The 18,375-nt window shown below is 52.0% G+C and overlaps 1 protein-coding gene and 1 pseudogene across 25 annotated transcripts, besides 3 other annotated features; one reads left to right on the forward strand and one right to left on the reverse strand.

Moving 5' to 3' along the window:
• POLR2LP1 (RNA polymerase II subunit L pseudogene 1) lies at positions 546-732 on the forward strand (annotated as a pseudogene).
• On the reverse strand, positions 2,258-18,016 carry CCHCR1 (coiled-coil alpha-helical rod protein 1). Of its 25 annotated transcripts, none has more exons than XM_047418911.1 (19): positions 17,986-18,016; positions 17,204-17,319; positions 16,842-16,908; positions 16,550-16,655; positions 14,315-14,618; positions 10,778-10,941; positions 10,544-10,679; positions 10,274-10,384; positions 9,885-10,034; positions 8,437-8,547; positions 8,224-8,330; positions 5,515-5,627; positions 5,267-5,312; positions 4,985-5,121; positions 4,704-4,892; positions 4,506-4,607; positions 3,081-3,232; positions 2,782-2,953; positions 2,258-2,535 (listed from the first exon to the last, which is right to left on the reverse strand). In XM_047418911.1, exons 3-19 carry the CDS (start codon positions 16,855-16,857, stop codon positions 2,411-2,413), a joined length of 2,241 nt encoding a protein of 746 aa, XP_047274867.1. In that variant the 5' UTR covers positions 16,858-16,908; positions 17,204-17,319; positions 17,986-18,016; the 3' UTR covers positions 2,258-2,410. The 25 variants fall into 25 exon arrangements, with proteins under 25 accessions (XP_047274867.1, NP_001381575.1, NP_001381571.1 ...); NM_001394646.1 differs by having other exon boundaries at positions 8,224-8,321; positions 16,550-16,763; NM_001394642.1 differs by having other exon boundaries at positions 16,550-16,763.
• Positions 15,513-16,128: an enhancer, noted in NCBI's record as "OCT4 hESC enhancer chr6:31123471-31124086 (GRCh37/hg19 assembly coordinates)". NCBI's record gives its function as "activates a minimal SCP1, AML or CMV promoter by ChIP-STARR-seq in primed H9 embryonic stem cells {active_cell/tissue: H9 hESC(primed)}" and the evidence as "EXISTENCE:reporter gene assay evidence [ECO:0000049][PMID:30033119]".
• Positions 16,862-17,362: an enhancer, noted in NCBI's record as "H3K4me1 hESC enhancer chr6:31124820-31125320 (GRCh37/hg19 assembly coordinates)". NCBI's record gives its function as "activates a minimal SCP1, AML or CMV promoter by ChIP-STARR-seq in primed H9 embryonic stem cells {active_cell/tissue: H9 hESC(primed)}" and the evidence as "EXISTENCE:reporter gene assay evidence [ECO:0000049][PMID:30033119]".
• Positions 17,363-17,863: an enhancer, noted in NCBI's record as "H3K4me1 hESC enhancer chr6:31125321-31125821 (GRCh37/hg19 assembly coordinates)". NCBI's record gives its function as "activates a minimal SCP1, AML or CMV promoter by ChIP-STARR-seq in primed H9 embryonic stem cells {active_cell/tissue: H9 hESC(primed)}" and the evidence as "EXISTENCE:reporter gene assay evidence [ECO:0000049][PMID:30033119]".

The following is an 18,375-nucleotide window of genomic DNA, read 5'->3' on the forward strand; positions in this document are numbered from 1 at the left end:
GTCCAAACCCAGCCCATCATCCTGAGCCACCATCTCCCCTGAGCCTCCCCAACACCCTTCTAATTGGCCCCCTTGCTCCCACTGTTTATCCCTCCCCCTCACACAAAGCCTGTCCTCCACCAGCAAAAGAGGTCTTAAAATATACATCACGCGGGCCTGGTGTGGTGGCTCGCGCCTGTAATCCCAGCACTTTGGGAGGCCGAAGCGGGCGGATCACCTGAGGTCGGGAGTTCAAGACCAGCCTGACCAACATGGAGAAACCCCGTCTCTACTAAAAATACAAAAATATTAGCCGGACATGGTGGCACATGCCTGTAATCCCAGCTACTCAAGAGGCTGAGGCAGGAGAATCGCTTGAACCCAGGAGGCAGAGGTTGTGGTGAGCTGAGATCACACCATTGCACTCCAGCCTGGGCAACGAGTGAAATTCCGTCTCAAAAAAAAAAAACATATATATATATATATATATATCAGGCCAGGCGTAGTGGCTCATGCCAGCACTTTGGGAAGCTGACACAGGAGGACCGCTTGAGCTCAGGAGTTGTGTGCGCTGCTTCACCTGCAGCAAGACTGTGGGCAACACGTGGGAGGCCTACCTGGGGCTGCTGCAGTCCAAGTACGCTGATGGGGACGCCCTGGGCCTGAAGCGCCACAGCCGCTGCCTGCCGCATGCTGCTGGCCCACGTGGACCTGATGCGGAAACTGCTCAATTATGCCCTCCTGGGGAAGTGACCTGGTTAGACCCACCCATCTGCTGCGCTGGGTGCCGGGAGCAATCGCTGACCACAGTGCGTGGATATGTGTACCTCACTCTGGAAGGGACCATCCAGTAAGTCCCTCAGGAAAAAAAATGTACACCAAATCATGTTGCGTCTTCCCTTTGTTTGGGGAGTGAGGACAGGTTCTCGCTCTCTTAGGCTGGGGTGCAGTGGTGCGATCACAGCTCATTGCAGCCTCAACCTCTTGGGCTCAAACAATCCTCCCAACTCAGCCTCTGGAGTAACTAGGACCATGGGTGCACGCCACCATGCCCTCCAATGTTTTTTATTTTTATTTTTTATATAGATGGAGTCTCCCTATGTTGGCTGGTCTCAAACTCCTGGGCTCAAGCGATCCGCTCACCTCGGCCTCCCAAAAAAGTGCTGGGATTCAGCTACTCCGGAGGCTGAGGCAGGAGAATTGCTTGAACCTGGGAGGTGGAGGTTGCAGTGAGCTGAGATTGTGCCACTGCACTCCAGCCTGGCAACAAGAGCAAAACTGTCTCAAAAAAAAAAAGTGCTGGGATTACAGGCAGGAGCCACAACACCGGGCCCCCTTCCCTGTTTTTTTTTTTTTTTTTTTAATTCTTCTTCTTTTTTTGAGGCTGAGTCTCGCTCTGTCACCCAGGCTGGAGTGCAGTGGCATGATCACGGCTCACTGCAACCTCCACCTCCCGTGTCCAAGCAATTCTCCTGTGTCAGCCTCCTGAGTAGCTGGGACTACAGGCTCACACCACCACACCTGGCTAATTTTTTGTATTTTAGTAGAGACGAAGTTTCACCATGTTGCCCAGGCTGGTCTCAAACTCCTGAGCTCAGGTGATCCGCGTGCCTCAGCCTCCCAAAGTGTCAGGATTACAGGCGTGAGCCACCACACCTGGCTTTCTTCCCCGTTTTTAAAGAAGTACTCCAATGGCTTTCTATTGACTTACAGTAAAATCCAAACTTGGCCACATCTCGGCCTCGCAGCAGCATCCTTGAGCATTCTCTACAGAGACCTCCTGGCCTCCACAGGAGCCCACTTCAGGCAGGCCTCTGCACAAGGTCCCCTGCTCAGAGGCCTCTCCCCAGAGTCAGTTTCTATCATATCATCGTACTGTACTTTCTCTTCAAGCACTTATTTGAAACGATCTCGTTCATCTGTTTAGGTCCCATCTGCTCGCTCGCTCTCCCACTAGGATGTAGGCTCTCAGGGTCCAAGTGGCCCCCAGGCTAATACAGTGCCTAGCTCTGACATTCCTGTTGAACGAGTGAATGTTTCATCTTCCCCACTCCTAGCATTTATCATCTTCCAGAAGAAAAGAGTTTTAAAACAAAAGTTGAGAATAAAGAAAAGCAGGAGCTTCCCAAACATTTCCAAAGCTGCCTAGAAAAAGGATTTGAAAAGGTGCCACCCATAGAGAGAGCTATGGGTGGGACCACTTCTCACAATCTCCAAGAGAGATGGCTGCAGGGAGAATTCCCACAGATTCCCAGAAATAACATTTCCAAACAATGGCTCCTTCTGTAGTCGTCTTTATTTAGAGCAGAATTCAGACTCAGCTGGTATCCCCCAGGGCAACCCCAGGATGGGGAAGGGCTGGTCTGTCCCCACCCACTTCTCCAGGATCCTCCCAGCCCCCAGGCTGGCTTTCCCTCCAACTGTCAGCTGCTTAGCTGCTCATCTGGGGATTGGAGCTGGAGCATCTGTCAAGGTTGTCTCCTTGACAAACAGCTTCCTCTTTGGAAATGGCTTCACTCAGGTCCTGCAGGTCATCGAGCAGGACAGAGAGGGACCCTGGGAAGGAAGACAGCAGATGAGCACCAGACAAGGGAAGGTGCTCGTGGTTACAGAGGAAACAGGGCTGGCACAGGAAATGAGGAATGGGAGAGAGGAGGCTCTTTGGTCCAAGCTGGGCATCGCTAAAAGAGGCTAAGGGCCTCGAAGGACCGCAGAGAACAACACTCATCATGCGAGAGTCTGAAGAGGAGATTCCTGAAGTGCGCGCATTTGTCCCTTGTCCCTTTGTGCTTGGCCCAAGACCTTTTATGGACTCCCTGGTGGGCACTGCTGCTGCTACAGGTGCAGATGCTGAACACTCTGGAGGCCTGGGGCTGGACACCACAGATTTCTTCTTATCCAGTAGGGAAGGAAGAACTGTCAACAGTCGCTGCTGCTTGTAACGGGAGAGGAGACCTTCCTGCTGCAAGGTGGCCTGGGAAGGAGAGGGTTAAACCTAGCCCGGATAGAGCCTCCCTCACCATCCTCTTTCCACACCTCTAGCCCAGGAACCAGCCCAGGATGGGCCCTAGTGTCTGCCTGTCTGCCCTCCTGTCTCCTACCAGCATGAGGTTCTTATCCCTCTCTAGCTCCTGCAAGCGCCGGGCCAGTCGCTGCCCCTCCTCCTTCCGGGCCTCCTCCTGCAGACGCCTGAGTTCCTGGCTCCGCTCCTTTTCCTGGGCGGCTCTGCGCTGAATCTGGCGTAAGGAGACCACTACAGAGAGGCCAAGGCACAGAGGAGGCAGGTGTGAGTCAGGCCAGAGGCAGCCAGGCACCATGAAGACAGGAACAAACGCTGGGTCACCAACTCTGTGGCTTGGGGAGGCTGTTCTGCTCTGTGGATCTGTCTCTTCTGTACAGTTGGAGGGGTGGGCTGATGCTCTAGGAGCCTGGGAATCTGAACCTAAGTATCTTCCTCATCCCTGAACCATCCTGGAGTTCCTCAGGGGAAATCTGAACATGAACTGGGTTAGATTTTGTGCAATTAGTGTTCACTGTCTTAAAGTGTGATGATTGCAGCTATATAGGAGAATTTACTGGCTTTGGGAGATGCGGCTGAACAACTTATGTTTACAACTTACTTAGGCGTGGTGGCTCACGCCTATAATCCCAGCACTTTGGGATGCCAAGGCGGGCGGATCACGAGGTTAGGAGCTCGAGACCATCCTGGCCAACATGGTGTAATCCCGTCTCTACTGCAAATACAAAAACTAGCTGGGCATGGTGGTGGGCGCCTGTAATCCCAGCTACTTGGGAGGCTGAGCCAGGAGAATGGCTTGAACCCGGGAGGCAGAGGTCACAGTGAGCCAAGATCATGCCACTGCACTCCAGCTGGTGACAGAGGAAGACTCTGTCTCAAACAACAACAACAACAAAACATTAAATGATTACAACTTAAAGTGATTCAAAAGATGTACAAATATGTGTGTATATAGATAAGAGACCAAATGTGGCAAATGTTAACTGCTATATTTAGTTAGAGAAGATACATTCATTACACAATTCTTTTTTTGACACATGGTCTTTCTCTATCACCCAGGCTTGAGTGCAGTGGCACAATCTTGGCTCACTGCAGCCTCGACCTCCCGGGTTCATGTAGTCTTCCCACATCAGCCTCACAAGTAAGCTTGGGGTACAGGTGCCCACCACCAGGCCTAGCTAATTTTTGTATTTTTAGTCGAGACAGGGTTTCGCCATGTTGTCCAGGCTGGCCTCAAACTCCTGACCTCAGGTGATACACCCACCTCGGCCTCCCAAAGTGCTTGGATTACAGGCATAAGCCACCGCGACCGGCCATATGCTGTTTCTTAATCTGGTGCTGGCTACATGGGTGTGTTCACGATGTGATAATTCATCTGTGCTACTCCTGGATACCTTCATTACTTCCTGTAATGAAGCTTTGAACACACTTTGAGGGGAAAATAATAACCTTATGTCTTAACACTTCCTTCTTCCTGGAAGGCCCTATCCACCCTGGCAAGGCTCACCGGCCTTGGCATGCTCCCTCCGAGCCTCGTTCAGCCTCCTCTCTGTGTCTGAGAGTTGCTCCCGCAGCCGAGTTTCCACTTCAGCCACCTTTTCTTGCAGGGCTGGGGTGAAAGTGCAGACGGGGCATATCAGCAGGAGCTTTGATTCGCAGTTCCCACCCCACCCTCCAAGGGAAGCACCCATTTCCCTCTCGACACCTTGCCCGTAGAGTTCCTGCTGCTGGGTCAGCTCCTGCCGCAGACTGGCAGCCTCCTCTGTGCTCTCCTGCTGGCCCTGGCGTGCTACCTCCAGCTGCAGCCCCAAGCTAGCCAGGGACTCCTGGGTCTGCTGCAGCTCCTGCTCCAGCTGCTGGGCCACCTTGCTCAGCTGCTGCCGCTCTGCCTCCCCTAAAAGGAGGGGGTGCTGGGTCAGGCCTCTCCCAGCACCCTAGACACCGGGTTTTTCCTCATCCTCTCCACCCCCTGGCAACCAGGTGTACCTTGCTCCCGAGCCCGGCCCACCTCCTGCTGGATGAGGCGGGCACTCAGCTGCAGTTCTGCATCCAGGCGGTTCCGTTCTTCCCGCAACTGCTGCAACTCAAGGCTCACGTCTGTGACCGGTGGTGGTAGGGGACAGCTGGGACGGGGAAGAGAAAGAGTCAGAAGAAATCACCCAGCTGCCTGATCCCAAAGCCCCCATCCCACCTCAGTCCTCATGGTTTTGGGGGTCCCAGCAGCCAATGCCCTAAAGCCCCATCCACCTCAAAGTGCCCAAACTTCACCTCTCCTGGCGCAGCTGAGCAAGGGCAAGCTTTCGAGCAATCAGGCCTGGAGGGGAAAAAGCAGGGAGAAAAAGAGATGAAGTTTGCATGGGAGAAAGTGGGGACAGGGAGTAAGGGAAAAAGAGATGCAAGGACTGGTGAAAGGAGGAAGGTGAATGGATGTGGGATCAGAGAGAGCTGGGTCAGGAAGAAGAAAGTCCGAGCTGGTGGGGTGGGGGCAGGACGTGGCTCGCAGTTGTCCTACGCACCCCGAATGGTGTGGACCTTGCGGACAGCATAGCTGAGTCGGTTGTTGAGGCTGGGAAGCTGGGCGGCAGCCCCTTCCACCTTAGCCATGGTGGTCTCGAGCCAGATCTGAGAGCTGGAGAGGGCACAAGTCACTGATCCTCCATGCCTCCCCTCATTCCCAAAGGACTTGCTGTGCCTTGTATAGACAACTCCCTCTAATCCTGTCCCATTATACAAGTACAGAACGCACAGCTTCCGTCAATTATCTAAAGGACCCTTGCCCCAAGAATGCATTAAATGACTATCTTTTTAAGCAACCTGTTAAGCTTATTTCTCACAACTGTGTTTTGCTCACTATCGTGTATCAAAGAGTAAAGTTATCCTCTCTGATCAGGGGCAGTGGCTCCTGCCTGTAATCCCAGCACTTTGGGAGGCCGAGGCGGGCGGATCACCTGAAGTCAGGAATTGGAGACTAGCCTGGCCAACATGGTGAAACTCTCTCTACTTAAAAACACAAAAATTAGCCGGGCATGGTGGCTCATGCCTGTAATCCCAGCTACTCCAGAAGCTGAGGCACGAGAATCACTTGAACCTAGGAGGTGGAGGTTCCAGTGAGCCAAGATCGCACCCCTGCCCTCAAGACTGGGTGACAGAGCGAGACTCCATCTCAAAAAAACAAAAGAAAACAAAGTTATCCTCTCCAAGCCCAGGAGTGTCGATCTAGCACCAATGACGGGCAGGTCCACATGCTTTACCAGCTGGCTGTGCCAGAAGTAGGACCAACCTGGCTCATGAAAACTGAGCAGCTTAAACAGGCCCCAGGAGGAGGCCAAGGAGTGTCTGGGGCCGGGCTGGGGTTTCCTCAGGAGAGTCCAGGTCTGCACCCACAGAAAAACACATGATGATGAAGGCTTGCAGCTGCATCCCCAGCAGCACAGCAAAGTTCACTTTGATCTGGAAATTGTTCCAGTAGATGCTTCCAACACCTACCACAGCCCTTATTAAAGTCTCCAATTACCTAGAGACAATCTAATAAACCCAGCAACAATCAGAGTTTGGACTGCTTTAAGCCTGGAGGACTTTCGGCAAATGCATCATTACACAGACCATTTCTGTGATCGCCTGGTACCAAAGTCAAACCCTGTCCACAGTGCATCTTTCTGTTCTCCTGGAGGTAGGGGGCACCCGCGATGGATTGAACCTGGGTGGTAGGTCATTATAACTAGTTTAATTCCGTGCAAGTTTGAAATTTTTCATAATTTTTAAAGCTAAATTAGTCCCTAAGGTACAAATCCAAGAGAAGGAAGTGATGGGCAAGGACTCATCCTGCATCTTAATTTCGCTAAACCAAAAATTATCTTTATCTAAATTAACCCATCAAGAAGAGCCTCACGATAACAATAAACATTTACAAGCCAGAGACTGTGCTAAGAACTACCTGCCGGCCAGGCACGGTGGCTCAAGCCTGTAATCCCAGCACTTTGGGAGGCCGAGGCGGGCGGATCACGAGGTCAGAAGTTTGAGACCAGCCTGGCCAACACAGTGAAACCCTGTCTCTACTAAAAATACAAAAAAGTAGCCGGGTGTGGTGGTGTGCACCTGTAATCCCAGCTACTCAGGAGGCTGAGGCAGGAAAATCGTGTGAACCCGGGAGGCAGAGGTTGCAGTGAGCTGAGATCGTGCCATTGCACTCCAGCCTGGGTGACAGTGCGAGACTCTGTCTCAAAAAAAAAAAAAAAAAAAAAAAGAACTACCTGCCTTGGGTACCTCAGTGTCTAAGGCTGAGGGGAAGTCATCACCAGCACAAAGAAGCTTTGCTGTTTTCTTAGAGGTTTTTCTGAAGGTCATACAACAATTGTAGGTAATGAAACAACTAGGAAGTTGGTAGGAGAGACAAAGGCTGGCAATTGATTTAGAAGGAAACTAACTGGCTTACATTTTAGATGGAATAGTAAGCAAGTTAAGTATATAATAAGCAAGTAAGTATATAGCTTTAAATAAATAGACTAGGCCAGGTGCAGTGGCTCACACCTATAATTCCAGCACTTTGGGAGGCTGAGGTGGGTGGATCACCTGAGGTCAGGAGTTCAAGACCAGCCTGGCCAACATGGTGAAACCCCGTCCCTACTAAAAATGCAAAAATTAGCCGGGTGTAGTGGAGGACACTGGTGGAGGATGCCTGTAATCCAGCTACTCGGGAGGCTGAGGCAGGAGAATCACTTGAACCAGGGAGGTGAGGTTGCAGTGAGCCAAGATTGCGCCATTGCACTCCAGCCTGGGTGACAGAGCGAGACTTTGTCTCAAAATAAATAAATAAATAGACTAAATTTTTCTCCAGTGAAACGGATTGCCCGTAAAATTTTAGAAAAAAAAAGGAAGATGAAGTGTCTACACTCTCCATCCTTGAACAATACTGCAAGTAAAGATCCTCCCGGGTGCTCTATTTAGCTCAAGCCATTACTAGACTGAACTGCAGGAGGAAGCAAGGCCTCACCTCCAGCCAAACATGCAACGGGAAATTCATAACAAGCAATCAGGTATGAATGCAGAAGGGGCTTCCCCAGGAAAAGAAACGAACACAGGAACATTGATAGAGCTAAATCTGCCCAGCCCTGTAGCCTCCAGTGGCCACTTTCCAGCCCCTCTTGCCTGAGGATCCTCAGCAACAAGGTGCCCAGGAACCTGAGGTGGCAGAAACACTACTCCACCCACCCCTCCATCCCTGATACCTGCTGACAGCATTGACCACAAGCCTCAGCTGCTCCTCGGCTGAGGCTGTCTGCTGCTGCCACCGACGCCTGGCCTCCTGAGCACGGCTCAGCTCCAACTGCAGGCCCTGGGGAGGATGCAGCAAAGGACAGGGTCCCTCCCTAAGTCCTGGCTGCAGCCCCGGAACAGGGGCTCCCTTGCCCTCCCCGAGTCTCTAGTAGGCTGACACCAACCTTGGCACCCATACGCTCCACCTCCACCTCTGCGGCTTTGTCCTGCAGGGATCGCTGCAGGATGGCCTGCTCCTGGCTCTGGGATGTCACTTTTTCCTGGAGTGAGGCCACCTGGGGGAGGAGAGAGAGCTAGGCAGGGCCCTCTAGAGCTAAAAGATGAGGGGGGCACTGGAAGCAAAGTGGCAGGTGCAGAGATCTCTGTAAGAATGCCATGCAGGGGCTGGGGGGAGGGGGGGCGGGCGACGGGGGTGGGTTGCAGCACGGTGGCTCACACCTGTAATCCCAGCACTTTGGGAGGCCGAGGCAGATGGATCACTTGAGGTCAGGGGTTCAAGATCAGCCTGACCAACATGGTGAAAGCCTGTCTCTACTAAAAATACAAAAATTAGCTGAGCGTGATGGCATGTGCCTGTAATCCCAGCTACTCGGGAGGCTGAGGCAGGAGAATCACTTGAACCTGGGAGGCGGAGGTTGCAGTGAGCTGAGATCAGGCCACTGCACTCCAGCCTGGTGACAAGAACAAGACTCCTTCTCAAAAAAAAAAAAAAAAAAAAAAGAAAAGAAAAAGAATGAATGCCACGCAGGGAGACAGAAGCTTAGGTTCTGAGGATGGAATCTGAGCCCAGTGTTCCATGTTCCACATTCCATGTGCCCACTCAAAGATGGGAATAGCCCTTGACCCACCCCACAAGACCCACCAACTGACCATGCCACTCTCCTCAGATGCTGTCACCTCCTCAGAGAGGCTGTCTCTGAGCATCCTACCTGAGGCTGACTCACCCCACAGTCTCTCCGTCACATTATCTTTTGAATTTTTCTTACTACTTTCTTTTTTTTTGAGAAAAGATCTCGCTTTGTCACCCAGGCTAGAGTGCAGTGATGGGATCACAGTTCACTGTGGCCTCGCCTCGACCTCCCAGCCTCAGGTGATCCTCCCACCTCATCCTCCAGAGTAGCTGGGACTACAGGAATGAGCCACTATGACCGGCTAATTTTTTGTATTTTTAGTAGAGACGGGATTTCACATGTTGCCCAGGCTGGTCTCGAACTCCTGACCTCCAGTGATCCACCTGCCTCGGTCTCCCAAACTGTTGGCATTACTTGACTGGGCACGGTGGCTCACACCTGTAATCCCATCACTTTGGGAGGCTGAGGCAGGTGAATCACCTGAGGTCAGGAGTTCAAGACCAAAGTGATCGCATTATAGGTGTGAGCCACTGCACCTGGCTTCAATCTTTCTATCGCACATATAATTACCCAACATTATCTGTTTACTTGCGTGTTCTGTGTCTCTGTTCTAGAATGCAAGCTCCACATTTTAGTTTTGTTCAGGGCTGTGTGCCCAGCATGTGGCAACCACTCAATAAACACTGGTTGAATGGATGCCACCTTCATGGAAGGAGCAAGGTGCTGGGAGGGAATACCGGGAGAAAAGAGAGTGCAGTGACCTGTCCCTTCAGCTGCTTAACAGAGTCACTGTGTTCCAGCTCCTGGGCCTTTAGCTGCACCATGAGGGCAAACACCTTCTCCCGCCAGCGGTTCAGCAGGGACTGGCACTTCCTGGTAAACTCAGGCTCCAGGGAATCTGAAGGTTGAACCTGAGGGAGAAGGAGTGGGAGAAAAGTGTGGGCTCCTGGGGGAGGAGAGGAAGGAGGTGGCATCTTTGTTTCTCCTCTGTCCTGCCTGGGCAACATGAGCTACAGCAAGAGGAGTTCACAGGAAGGAGATCTAAGCAGGTTCTGGGGCACATTGACCCCTCCTGCCCACAGGGAGGGAGGCAGGGGACAGTAGATGCAGGATGCGGCTGAGGGTGAGGGGTCTGGGGGTTGGGCTGTACCTTCCTGGTCAGCTCCTCCTCCTGCAGGGCGAGGATGTGTGTGAGGCTCTGCACCCGCACCTGCAGCAGCTCCGCGGTGGCATGCAGGCTGTCCCGGTCCTCCTGCAAGTGCTGCGGGCAGAGGAAAGCAGCCCCTCTGTAGGGCCTCCATGCCGCCTTAGGTACCACCTTCTCTCCCGGAGGCTGTGCTCTACACGCTCCTCCAAGGGCCACGCTTGCCTCCCAACCTGATCCCTAAGTCTGCACACAGATACATTCCTGCACCCTCACCTGCATGGTTTCCAGAAGCTTCTGTCGCTCCAGTTCCCATGTCTGGCTGTGGACCTCAGAAGGCACTTGTTCCCCAACATATTTTCTTAGATTCTCAACCAGGGTCACCTGAGCCTCCAAGTCTTCCTGGGTCTTGCTAGGGTTGGGGTGGGAATGGGACAGCCATCAGTGGGGCGCCCTGCAGATCCACCACATCACTAATTGCTGGGCTCCCGTCGGCGTCCGCCCACCTACCTCAGCTGCTTCCGAAGCAGCTCGGCCTCCCTCTGAGCCTCGGCCAGCTCCTTGGCTTCCCCTGCTCTTCTGGTTTCCAGACTACTCAGAGACTTCTCCAAGCCCTCAGCCTTGCTGGTCAAACTGGAAAGAGCCTCCTCGTGAGCCTGTGTCAAAGAGGACAGCTGCGGAAAGAAGAGGGGGCTCAGCAGAGGCTCGACCCCACATGGAGGCCTTCCTTGTTCCCTTCACTCCCACTTTCTGTGACCTTAGAGAATGACCCAACCAATCAGCCAACTGTGCACAGCAAATGGAGAGCTGGCAACTCACTCTCCGCAGCTGCCCCACAACCCATCAGGAGTTCTTGTCCGATCTCCCCCAAAACATATCTTCACCTCTCTGTCTCCGTCTCCACTGCCACCAACCCTCATCTTTTGCCTGGGCAACAGCGACCATCTCCTAACTAGTCTTTACAAACCCTCAGTGGCTTCTCACAGCATTCACAACAAAACCCAGGTGTCTCTCCACACCTGCAGGCCAGGGGACCCGGCCTCTGCCTACCTCCTGAGCTCACCCTGGAGGCTCTCCCACTGCTCCCCGCTCCGGCCACGGGGAGTCTGCTGAGAACCAGACAGCGGCCCCTCCTTGCTCCACAGACCCCAGGCGATAGCCCCTCCTCAGGGTGGCTTCACTGGGCCCTCTAATACCGTCCCTCCCCACCCTACTCTGCCCCATCAGCTGTTCACGTCCTCCTGAGCACTTAGCACTGACCATATCTTGCTTATGTGTATGTGTTACTATCTGTCGGACCACACTGGAAGGAAAGCTCCAGGAAAGGAGGAATTTTGTGTCTTTTGCTCATGGCACCTCAAAGGGTTGCAGGGGTGTCAGAGCCACCAAGAGTCATGGGATGGACTGGAAAGGAGGGCAAAGTGCCCACCCTGCTTCCTGGTCTGCCTCCTCTAGCCCTGTCTCCATACAACAATAAAATTAATTTGGGGGACATAAATGACAAAATTTTTTAGACATAAAATACAAATCTAATCATGTTATTTCCCTGCTTAAAACCTTTCAACAGGCCGGGCGCAGTGGCTCATTCCTGTAATTCCAGCACTTTGGGAGGCCGAGGTGGGTGGATCACAAGGTCAGGAGATCGAGATCATCCTGGCTAACATGGTGAAACCCCGTCTCTATTAAAATACAAAAAATTAGCTGGGCGTGGTGGCGGGCGCCTGTAGTCCCAGCTACTCGGAAGAATGACTTGAACCCGGGAGGCGGAGCTGGCAGTGAGCCAAGATCGCGCCACTGCACTCCAGCCTGGGCGACAGAGCGAGACTCCATCTCAAAAAAAAAAAAAAAACAACCTTTCAACGGTTGCTTATTACTTGAAAAAACAATTTTTTTTTGTTTGTTTTTTTGGAGATGGAGTTTCACTTTGTTGCCTAGACTGGAGTGCAATGGCACGATCTCAGCTCACTGCAAACGCTGCCTCCCAGGTTCAAGCGATTCTCCTGCCTCACCCTCCTGAGTAGCTGAGATTACAGGCATGAGCCACCACGCCCAGCTAATTTTTGTATTTTTAGTAGAGATGAGGTTTTACCATGTTGGCCAGGCTGGTCTCGAACTCCTGACCTCAAGTGATCCACCCGCCTCAGCTTCCCAAAGTGCTAGGATTACACATGTGAGCAACCATGCCCAGCCCTAATTTCTTCCATAAAATAGAGATGGGGGTCTCGCTTTGTTGCCCAGGCTGGTCTCAAACTCCTGGGCTCAAATGATCCTTCCACCTTGGCCTCCCAAAGTGCTAGGATTACAGGTATGAGCCACTGTGCCCAGCCTGCTCATTGCTCTTATGGGAAAGTAGCAAGTTCTGAAGTGGCCAAAGCCTTGTGCCCTGGGCCCTGGGCTCTGCAGCACACTCAGTGCCCCTCATCTCTGTGCCCCAGCCTTCTGGCCTCCTGTCCCCGCCTTCACCTGTTGTCCCACCAAGTGTCTTCCAGCTACCACTGGACTTCACACGCCTCTTCACTGGCCAACTCCTATTCAGCACAAACGGTAGCTTGTTGTTTTTTTAGTCTCGCTCTGCTGCCCAGGCTGGAGTGTGATGTCAGCTCACTGTAACCTCTGTCTCCCAGGTTCAAGCAATTCTCCTGCCTCAGCCTCCCAAGAAGCTGGGGGATTACAGGCGCCCACGACTATACCCGGCTAATTTTTGTATTTTTTTGTAGAGTTCTTCATGTTGGCCAGGTTGGTCTTTAACTCCTGGCCTCAAGTGATCCGCCCACCTCGGCCTCCCAAAGTGCTGGGATTACAGGCATGAGCCACTGTGCCTGGCCTAGCTTCTTGTTTCTAAGTTTCTTTCATAAATCTCCTTTGTCCATTTTCTGATTGGATTGCTGGTCTTTCCCTTACCAATTTCTAGGCACACATTTTATATTAGGGATATTACCCTTTTCTTGTGATCTGAGCTATAAATATAGCTTTTTTTTTTCTTTTTGGCTATTCCTAATGTTCATGTTATAAAGTCAATGGATCAATTTTTTCCTTTATGGCTTCTAGATTTTGGATTTTGACTCACAGGTAGAAAGGCCTTGCCCACTACAAGGTTATAAAGGAATTCTCCCTTGTTTTCTCCCAGTTCCTTTTTTATTTTATTTTTTGAGACAGAGTCTTGCTCTGTCGCCCAGGCTGGAGTGCAATGGCACAGTCTCGGCTCACTGCAACCTCCACTGCCCAGGTTCAAGTGATTCTCCTGCCTCGGCCTCCCAAGTAGCTGGGATTACAGGTGCGCACCACCACGCCTGGTGAATTTTTGTATTTTTAGTAGAGACAGGGTTTCGCCATGTTGGCCAGGCTGGTCTTGAACTCCTGACCTTGTGATCTGCCTGCTTCGGCCTCCCAAAATGCTGGGATTACAGGCGTGAGCCACTGCGCCCAGGGCTATGGTTTCTTTCCTTGACATGTCAACTGGTTACAGTGGCCTTCCCTGAACCCCAGACTAAGTTAGTGCTTTCTAGTCCTTCTCCTTCAAGGCATTCCTCCTGATTGCAATTAATTATGATTAAATTAAATGTGGATGTGTATATCCCCCACGAGGCTGTCAGTTCCATCCACGAAGGCAGGACTCAGGCTAATTTGGTCACTGAGTCTTAGAGATGGCAAAGAGTAAGTACTGAGTTTGAGGACTGAATAATCTCTCTCTCCCAGTCCACCATAGCCCCCTTATACCCACCTTCCTCACTGCCCTCCACAATACCCCTGATGAATTGGTACCTGGAGTAAAGTAGGGAGGCAAACTATTTCCTACTAGAAAGGGAAGCAGGGCTTCAAGTGGTGGGAGGCCACCTGAGTCTTGGGGGAAAAGTGCAACCTGAATTAAGATAAAAGTACCCAAATTCTCCATCTTTCTAGGCCATGTGTGTTTATTTTCACCAAAGGTCTCATCACTCTACTACTCACTACTCATGGAGGGTCTTTTCTGCAATACCTGTTCTTTGCTTGGAAGCTACTGCCCAGCTCTCCGTTATGAATTTGAATCCTTTCTACCCCTGCATTCACCTGCTCTTGGTGCAGCCTCTGAACCTCTTCCAGCTCCCGCTGGCTCCCCTCTTCCAAGTTCTTCCGGACAACCTCAGCCCCAGCCAAAGCAGCACGCAGGCCCTCAGCCTCAGCTCGGCCGGCCTTCTCCGCCCGTGCCAGAGCCTCTAGCTCCATGGCCTGGGCCTCTAGCCTCATCTTCTGCTGCAGCGAGGTCTCCCGCAGGAGCCGGACCTCCTCCTCCAGCCGCCGCAGCTCTTGCAGCTGCCGAACGATCACCTCAGCCTGCTGGCTCAGGGCCTGTGACCCCTCCAGCCCCCAGGACCTTCAAAGACAGGTTAGTGCAGGTGAGACTTGTCTCCAGTGCTGGAAGGATAGTTGAGGGCATAAACATAGCCAGGAGAAGGAAAAGAGGACCCCTCTGCTTCCGTGTGGGGAGGTGAAGGGGGTGCTGAAGCTGGGGTATGGGGATGTCTGCATTGACATCATCATCATTCATCAAAGCCCTATTGAGCATGTTGAGTCCAGTGCCTGGACTCACAGGACCTAAAGTCTGGCTGAGATCGTGGAACATGATCTCCCTAGAGAGAGCTACATACAGGAGGATTCAACATCAAATGTGTATATCATTAGGCCACACATTCTTTTTGTTTTTTGGTGGTTTTTTTGTCTTATTTATTTTTTTATTTTTAGGCCACACATTTTAAGTGGAAAGGTTGGAAGAACACACAGGGACTTCTCAATTCTAATTTAAGGGCAAGAAGTTTGAGGGAGGAATGGGCATAGAGAGGTCGTAAGCTTCCAGTATCAATATGGTGAGGCCAGGTGCTAGTTAAAAGGCATTTATTGGCTGGGCGCGGTGGCTCATGCCTGTAATCCCAGCACTTTGGGAGGCCGAGGCGGGCGGATCACGAGGTCAGGAGATCGAGATCATCCTGGTTAACACGGTGAAACCCCATCTCTACTAAAAATATAAAAAACTAGCTGGGCATGGTGGCAGGTGCCTGTAGTCCCAGCTGCTTGGGAGGCTGAGGCAGGAGAATGGCGTCAACCTGGGAGGCAGAGCTTGCAGTGAGCCAAGATCTCCCCAGTGCACTCCAGCCTGGGCGACAGAGTGAGACTCCATCTCAAAAAAAAGGCATTTATTGAGTGTTAGGTATACTTTATGAGGAGTCTGAGAGAACAGTACATAAATAACACAGTGCCAGCCTTTAGAGAAATCGTCTACCAATGTCACGTGAAGTTTAATCCAGCTTGGAACATGGCTCCTGAGGCAGCTCTCTGAGACCCAGGACTATAAGAGATTGTTGTTGTTGTCGTTTTTAGAGACAGGGTATCACTGTGTCACCCAGGCCTCAATGCAGTGGCTGGATCATAGGTCACTGCAGTCTTCAACTTCTGAGCTCAAGGGGTCCTACCACCTTAGCCTCCTGAGTAGCTAGGACTACAAATGCATGCCACCACAGCCAGCTAATTATTTTCTGTGGAGACGGAGTCTCGCTTTGTTGCCCACGCTGGTCATGAACTCCTGGGCTCAAGTGATCCTCCTGCCTCAGCTCCCAAAGTGCTAGGATTATAGGTGTGAGCCGCCATATCTGGCTCGCTCTTTCTTTCTTTCTTTAGTAGCAGCGATCTGTAGGCTAGGGAAATTAAGTGACTTGCCAAATGTCCTCTAGCTGGTAGCCAAACTAGAAATAGAGTCTCTGTCTCCTGACACCCAGTCTAGTATTCCTTCTTCATCATGCTGCTTCTTCTAATGTAATCCTATTCTGGAGCAAAATGGCAGAATGATATCCCAGTACATCTGGGAAAAGACACATGAAACAAGAATAAGAATGTTTACAGATAATACGACAGCATGGCCAGCTCCCACAGCATGTCCTCTGTAAAGGCTTTCTTCCATCAGAATGAACCCACACTGCCACAGTGCTGGGTCTCTACCTCTAGTTTGCACTTCTTCATCTTGCCTCATACCATGCTTTACCATCAGCTGGTGGTCAATCTATCTCCCCTCTTAGGATTTTAGATTCCTTATTAATTACAAATTTAAGTCAGGATTTGTCTTATTCACTATTGTTATCCTCATCCCTAGCACTTAGCACACTGCTTTATTATTTATGCACTGTAGGAACTAATTGCTTACATAAAAATGAGTACGTTCTGGAAACTAGGGCCGAAATAGGGTAAGGAGTTTATTCCAGTGAGGAAGGGTCACTAGCAAGCAAGCCTGAGAAAACGGCGTGGATGGATCCCTACCTGCCTCTCCGCCCTGGCTCCTGCCTGTCACTGGAAACATCCCGTTCCCACATGGTCACTTGAGGTCTCTGGGTGTCTAGCCGCCTCTCTGAGACATCTTGATGGCCTGGGGGTTGGACCAGGGGAATGTCTGAGAGCCAGGTGGGAGCCATTCTTGGCAGAGTTGAAAGGGGCCGAGCTTGAAAGTGGGAGGGGGGAATCAGCCCAGTGGAACCTGAAGAATTACAAAAACAAAGATGGTCAGTTTCCCAGGCAGAGACAACCACCACTCCCCTTGTCTGGTCCCACTGACCTGAAGGTGGAAACATCTCCACATTATTTGAAGGCTCTAGATTCTGTCTCCAGCCATCTATGTTCCCCTGGACAAGAGGAGAAACAAAGACACTCCAATTCAATTTTCAGGCCACCTTCCAAAGAGAAAGCCCCTACAATAACAAAGTCATAATCCTTGAATTATAGCCAGGTCCACCCGATGCTTAGCTCTTTTCCTACTTCCCCAAAGTAGGAGATACCCCAAATTCACTTGCTTGTCTCAACCTGGTTCCTCATGGAACCCAAGCAACTATCAAGTGGAGAGAATTTACTGAAAGAGACAGACTGAGAGGGGCTCTGAGGCTTTACTCATACTTTCAGGATTCTGGGCAGTGCCTCTACCCTCCTCCTTAAGTTTCTATGGTCCCTGCTGCTCCTGGCCAGAGGTGAGAAAGGAGGTACACAGTGCAGGGGTCTTGAGCGCCATCTCCAGAGTTCTCTCCATGGCTCAGCAAGGCCTGAGGGAAGCCCATCCAGACACCAGCAGGCCATGACTCTTGGGTCCTTCCCTGTTAAAGTGCTGGCCCAAGGCCTGGCCCCAGCTGAATGTGGCCACATGCAGGGCTAGACCCTCCCCAAGACCTTGGGAATCCAGGCCGCCTAGATCCCCAGGCAGAAAAGCCAGCGTCCTGACATCTTATTCAAATCTTTCCTGCGGCTGTTCTCTCAGCTTCTCTCTACTATCCCCTTAGCTTCCATGCCTGCTGCCCGCCTCCTCTTTCTCGAGTCCTAACACATAGTGGGCACTTTAAGATCTTCCTCCCACCCTCCCACCCTCATTAATCTATTTTTTACCCGAATCTGGGATCCCTACTCCCGTCCCTTTTTACAACCTAATCTACCTTTTTCTGAAGGAATTATTCTGGTCCTGACCCTCACCCCCATCTCTCAATAGCCTGCCCTCGCCCCCTGTACGCTAGCCGGCTCTACTCTCCCACCACTGCTCCCCTAGATACCCGAGGCTTCACCCAGTTAGCCCGTGAGCTCTAAGGCTGTTCTGATCTCTTCATCTGTCCCTTCACCTGGCCCCTGTACCCCCTTCCCCTTTGGACCCCTTGAACCCTCCCAGGACCCCCGCTCAGCCCCTTCCCGCCCCCAACCGACTCTTCCCGAACGTCCCTTACCAACCGCGAGAGCCCCCTACTGCGCTTTGGCCACACCCCCTACGCCTCGCTCCCGGCCCCGCCTCTGCCCCTGACCGCGCCTGCGCAAGGCGGGCGCCCTAAAGTCCTATTTCACTCTGTTGGGAGGAGGGGGAAAGGTGTACGCAGGCGCAGTGGCGTCTAAATTTGGGCCCACTAAATGCGTCGGAGCATCTCCGCGCCCAGGCGGCTCCTCCTCACTGCGGCAACCCGGGAAAACTTGTGAACTAATCAGAAAAAGTGGAAGGCGGGAGATCTTGGGGCGCTGTCCAATGGCGCGGAAGAGAACACATGAGCTGGCCAATCGGGAACGGCACGGGGGCGGGCTCGCTCGGCGCGAAGTTCGGGCCCGGGAATTCCGAAGGAGGGGTA

This window comes from Homo sapiens, chromosome 6, assembly GCF_000001405.40.
Source record: "Homo sapiens chromosome 6, GRCh38.p14 Primary Assembly".
NCBI lineage: Eukaryota > Metazoa > Chordata > Mammalia > Primates > Hominidae > Homo > Homo sapiens.

What these genes read in the sequence shown, in the direction of transcription:
- CCHCR1 (NM_001394641.1), bottom strand. Translation starts at nt 17,419, where the DNA reads ATGTGGCCACATTCAGCTGGGGCCAGGCCTTGGGCCAGCACTTTAACA. An exon ending in GTGGTCAATGCTGTCAGCAG is followed by an intron (nt 5,628 to 8,223) that starts GTATCAGGGATG and finishes TGCCCTCTCCAG; the next exon opens with CTCTCAGATCTGGCTCGAGA. An exon ending in GAGGGAGCATGCCAAGGCCG is followed by an intron (nt 3,233 to 4,505) that starts GTGAGCCTTGCC and finishes GCCTCTCTGTAG; the next exon opens with TGGTCTCCTTACGCCAGATT.